General features: G+C 38.6%; 1 protein-coding gene across 1 annotated transcript; it reads right to left on the bottom strand.

The window, feature by feature from the left end:
• Nucleotides 1-552, bottom strand: KRTAP19-3 (keratin associated protein 19-3). The gene has a single exon (NM_181609.4). It carries the CDS (start codon nucleotides 494-496, stop codon nucleotides 251-253), a length of 246 nt encoding a protein of 81 aa, NP_853640.1. The 5' UTR covers nucleotides 497-552; the 3' UTR covers nucleotides 1-250.
• Nucleotides 553-2461: the final 1909 nt, after the last annotated feature.

Here is a 2461-nt window from a genome sequence, read left to right on the forward strand (position 1 = left end):
TTGTGTTTGAAAATAGAATGTTTTATTGGAAGATAAACAGATAATTCAATCAGCTTTAAAAGCAAAAGTAGAGAATACTAGGATTATTATAGAGATGTGGGTATACAGAGAAAAAAAATTGCCTGAAATTCTGAGATGTTAAATTCTTTTGTGCAAATAGCTCCAGCATGATCTTTGTTGTCCAATGATTGAAGTCAGCTCTGGGAAAGTCCTCTTATAATTTCACACATTGTGTTGCTGGGGCAGTAGTTTAATAGAATCCAGAGAATCCATATCCTCCATAGTATGATGGGCGGTAGCAGCCATATCCGTAGCCTCCGAAGCCAGAGCCATATCCATAGCCTCCAAAGCCAGAGCCATATCCGTAGCCTCCATAGCCACAGCCAGAACCCAGTCTGCGGAAGCTGCCACATCCACAGCCATAGCCATAGCCCAGGCCACCAAAGCCTCCACAGCCATAGCCCAGGCCTCCATAGTAGCTGCCGTAGTAGCTCATGGTGTCAGGGGTAGTGAGTTTGGTTTGCTGCTCAAGGCAAGGTCCTGAGTGTGAATGTTGACATCTGTGCAGGCATGCTTATATACCCTGACACATCACGTAACAAAACACTTGCTGCCTATTTTAGTGTAGTTGTGTATGTTACACTTACCTGACCCAATCCTGACATCTGAAGAGGCCCTCAAACTCATTAAAGTGTTTGAGCTTGCATTGCTGTCTTCTCATGCTGTCCCTTTAACATATTGCATCACTTTTATGAGAAGAAATTGCTGTAGCTTCAAAGTCTGTGCATACCAGACCTTAAATAGACTTCTTCGTAGGCATATTGCATTACATAGTTGGTAATGCTATGTTTTGAAATTAAATATTGCTTCATCTCTGGCTTTCCTTGAATTGTTTTACTCATTTATGATTAAATAACAGACTTTGGTTAAATTCAATGCTCTGAAATTTATTATATTCTTCCAGAGGTATCTATTACCTCAGGTGAGGTCCCTTTTTAAAGAGAAGCAAACATTTGAAAGACTGGAGCCATCTGCTCACCTGCTATGCCTAACAGTAAAGAATTTCATGGGGTTAAAAAAGTTAAAATAAAGCCATCATTCTTCTATTACTCTAGAACATTGGCCATCATAACCAATATTCTCTTTTTTTGGTTTTACTCGTTTAAAAAATAAAAACCATTTTGATTTAACAACACAACAGTATATTGCTCAAACATTAAAGTCAAATCACAGTAATCAAAAATCTATTTCCTAAGCAGCTTTACAAACTGTTCAAAATTGTTTTCACATCCCGACTCCCTTACTGGCATATTAGACATCCAAGGTGCTACCAAAAATACAGATTGTATTGCCCTCCTCCCATTCATTCCTTTTTCCTGATCCACACAATTATCCTCTTTTCTTTTCTTTTTTTTTTTTTTTCTGAGACAGAATCTCGCTCTTTCGCCCAGGCTGGAGTGCAGTGGCGCTGTCTCGGCTCACTGCAAGCTCCACCACCCGGGTTCACGCCATTCTCCGGCCTCAGCCTCCGGATTAGCTGGGACTACAGGCACCCGCCACCACGCCCGGCTAATTTTTTTTTGTATTTTTAGTAGAGACGGGGTTTCACCGTGTTAGCCCGGATGGTCTCGATCTCCTGACCTCGTGATCCACCCGTCTCGGCCTCCCACAGTGCTGGGATTACAGGCATGAGCCACAGCGCCCGGCCTCCTCTTTTCAATATATTCTTTCAGTTCCCATTAGGGTCTGGGACTAGGTGAGATGGTGAAATATATGCAATTCTTTTTGCCTCCCATCCATTTTCATTTAATACTTACTTAAATTCATATATATATATAAATAAAATCTTCGATTTTTCAGATATTTTTGCCTTTATGTTACCTTTACCTATTGTGTGTTTCTTTTTTTTCCTAAAAGAAAATAGCTAACTAAGCTTTACTAAGATGTTAGGTATTTATTAAAGTGTTAGATGTTAATAGATGCCATCGCCAAAGACCCTGGGGAATTCAGTAAGAGACTGTTAGCATTGTGAATGTCTTAGGAATCCCCTAAAAATATGTATAATATAAAAAGACAGGATGAAGGAAATAATAATTAAAGACAAAGAGTACCTCAGCTGACTCTAAGAATTTAGTCACCTAGACCCAAGGCTGACCCCAAACCCCACCCACATATGCCCTTAACTTTAAGCTTAAATATATAATTTCTTGTTTAATTTTTATTACTTTGAATATACTGTTAAGCTTTTGATGAGTTTATAAGCAATTTTGAAATTGTGCATTTCTCCAGATAGATTTGCTGGCTGCAGTTCAATGACCAGCATGCAATAGAAACTCAATATATAAGTGTTGAATAGATGAATGAATTCTAGTTCTTACAGGTAAAAATCTTACATCTCATAGAAATGAACAATACTACGAATGTATCCAACAATAAGAATTTAAAAGAGAAATTAGCTCAA

The sequence above is a fragment of the Homo sapiens genome, chromosome 21 (genome assembly GCF_000001405.40).
Source record: "Homo sapiens chromosome 21, GRCh38.p14 Primary Assembly".
Classification (NCBI taxonomy): domain Eukaryota; kingdom Metazoa; phylum Chordata; class Mammalia; order Primates; family Hominidae; genus Homo; species Homo sapiens.

Excerpts from the sequence above, each read along its gene's own strand:
- KRTAP19-3 (NM_181609.4), bottom strand. The coding sequence starts at position 496 with ATGAGCTACTACGGCAGCTACTATGGAGGCCTGGGCTATGGCTGTGGA.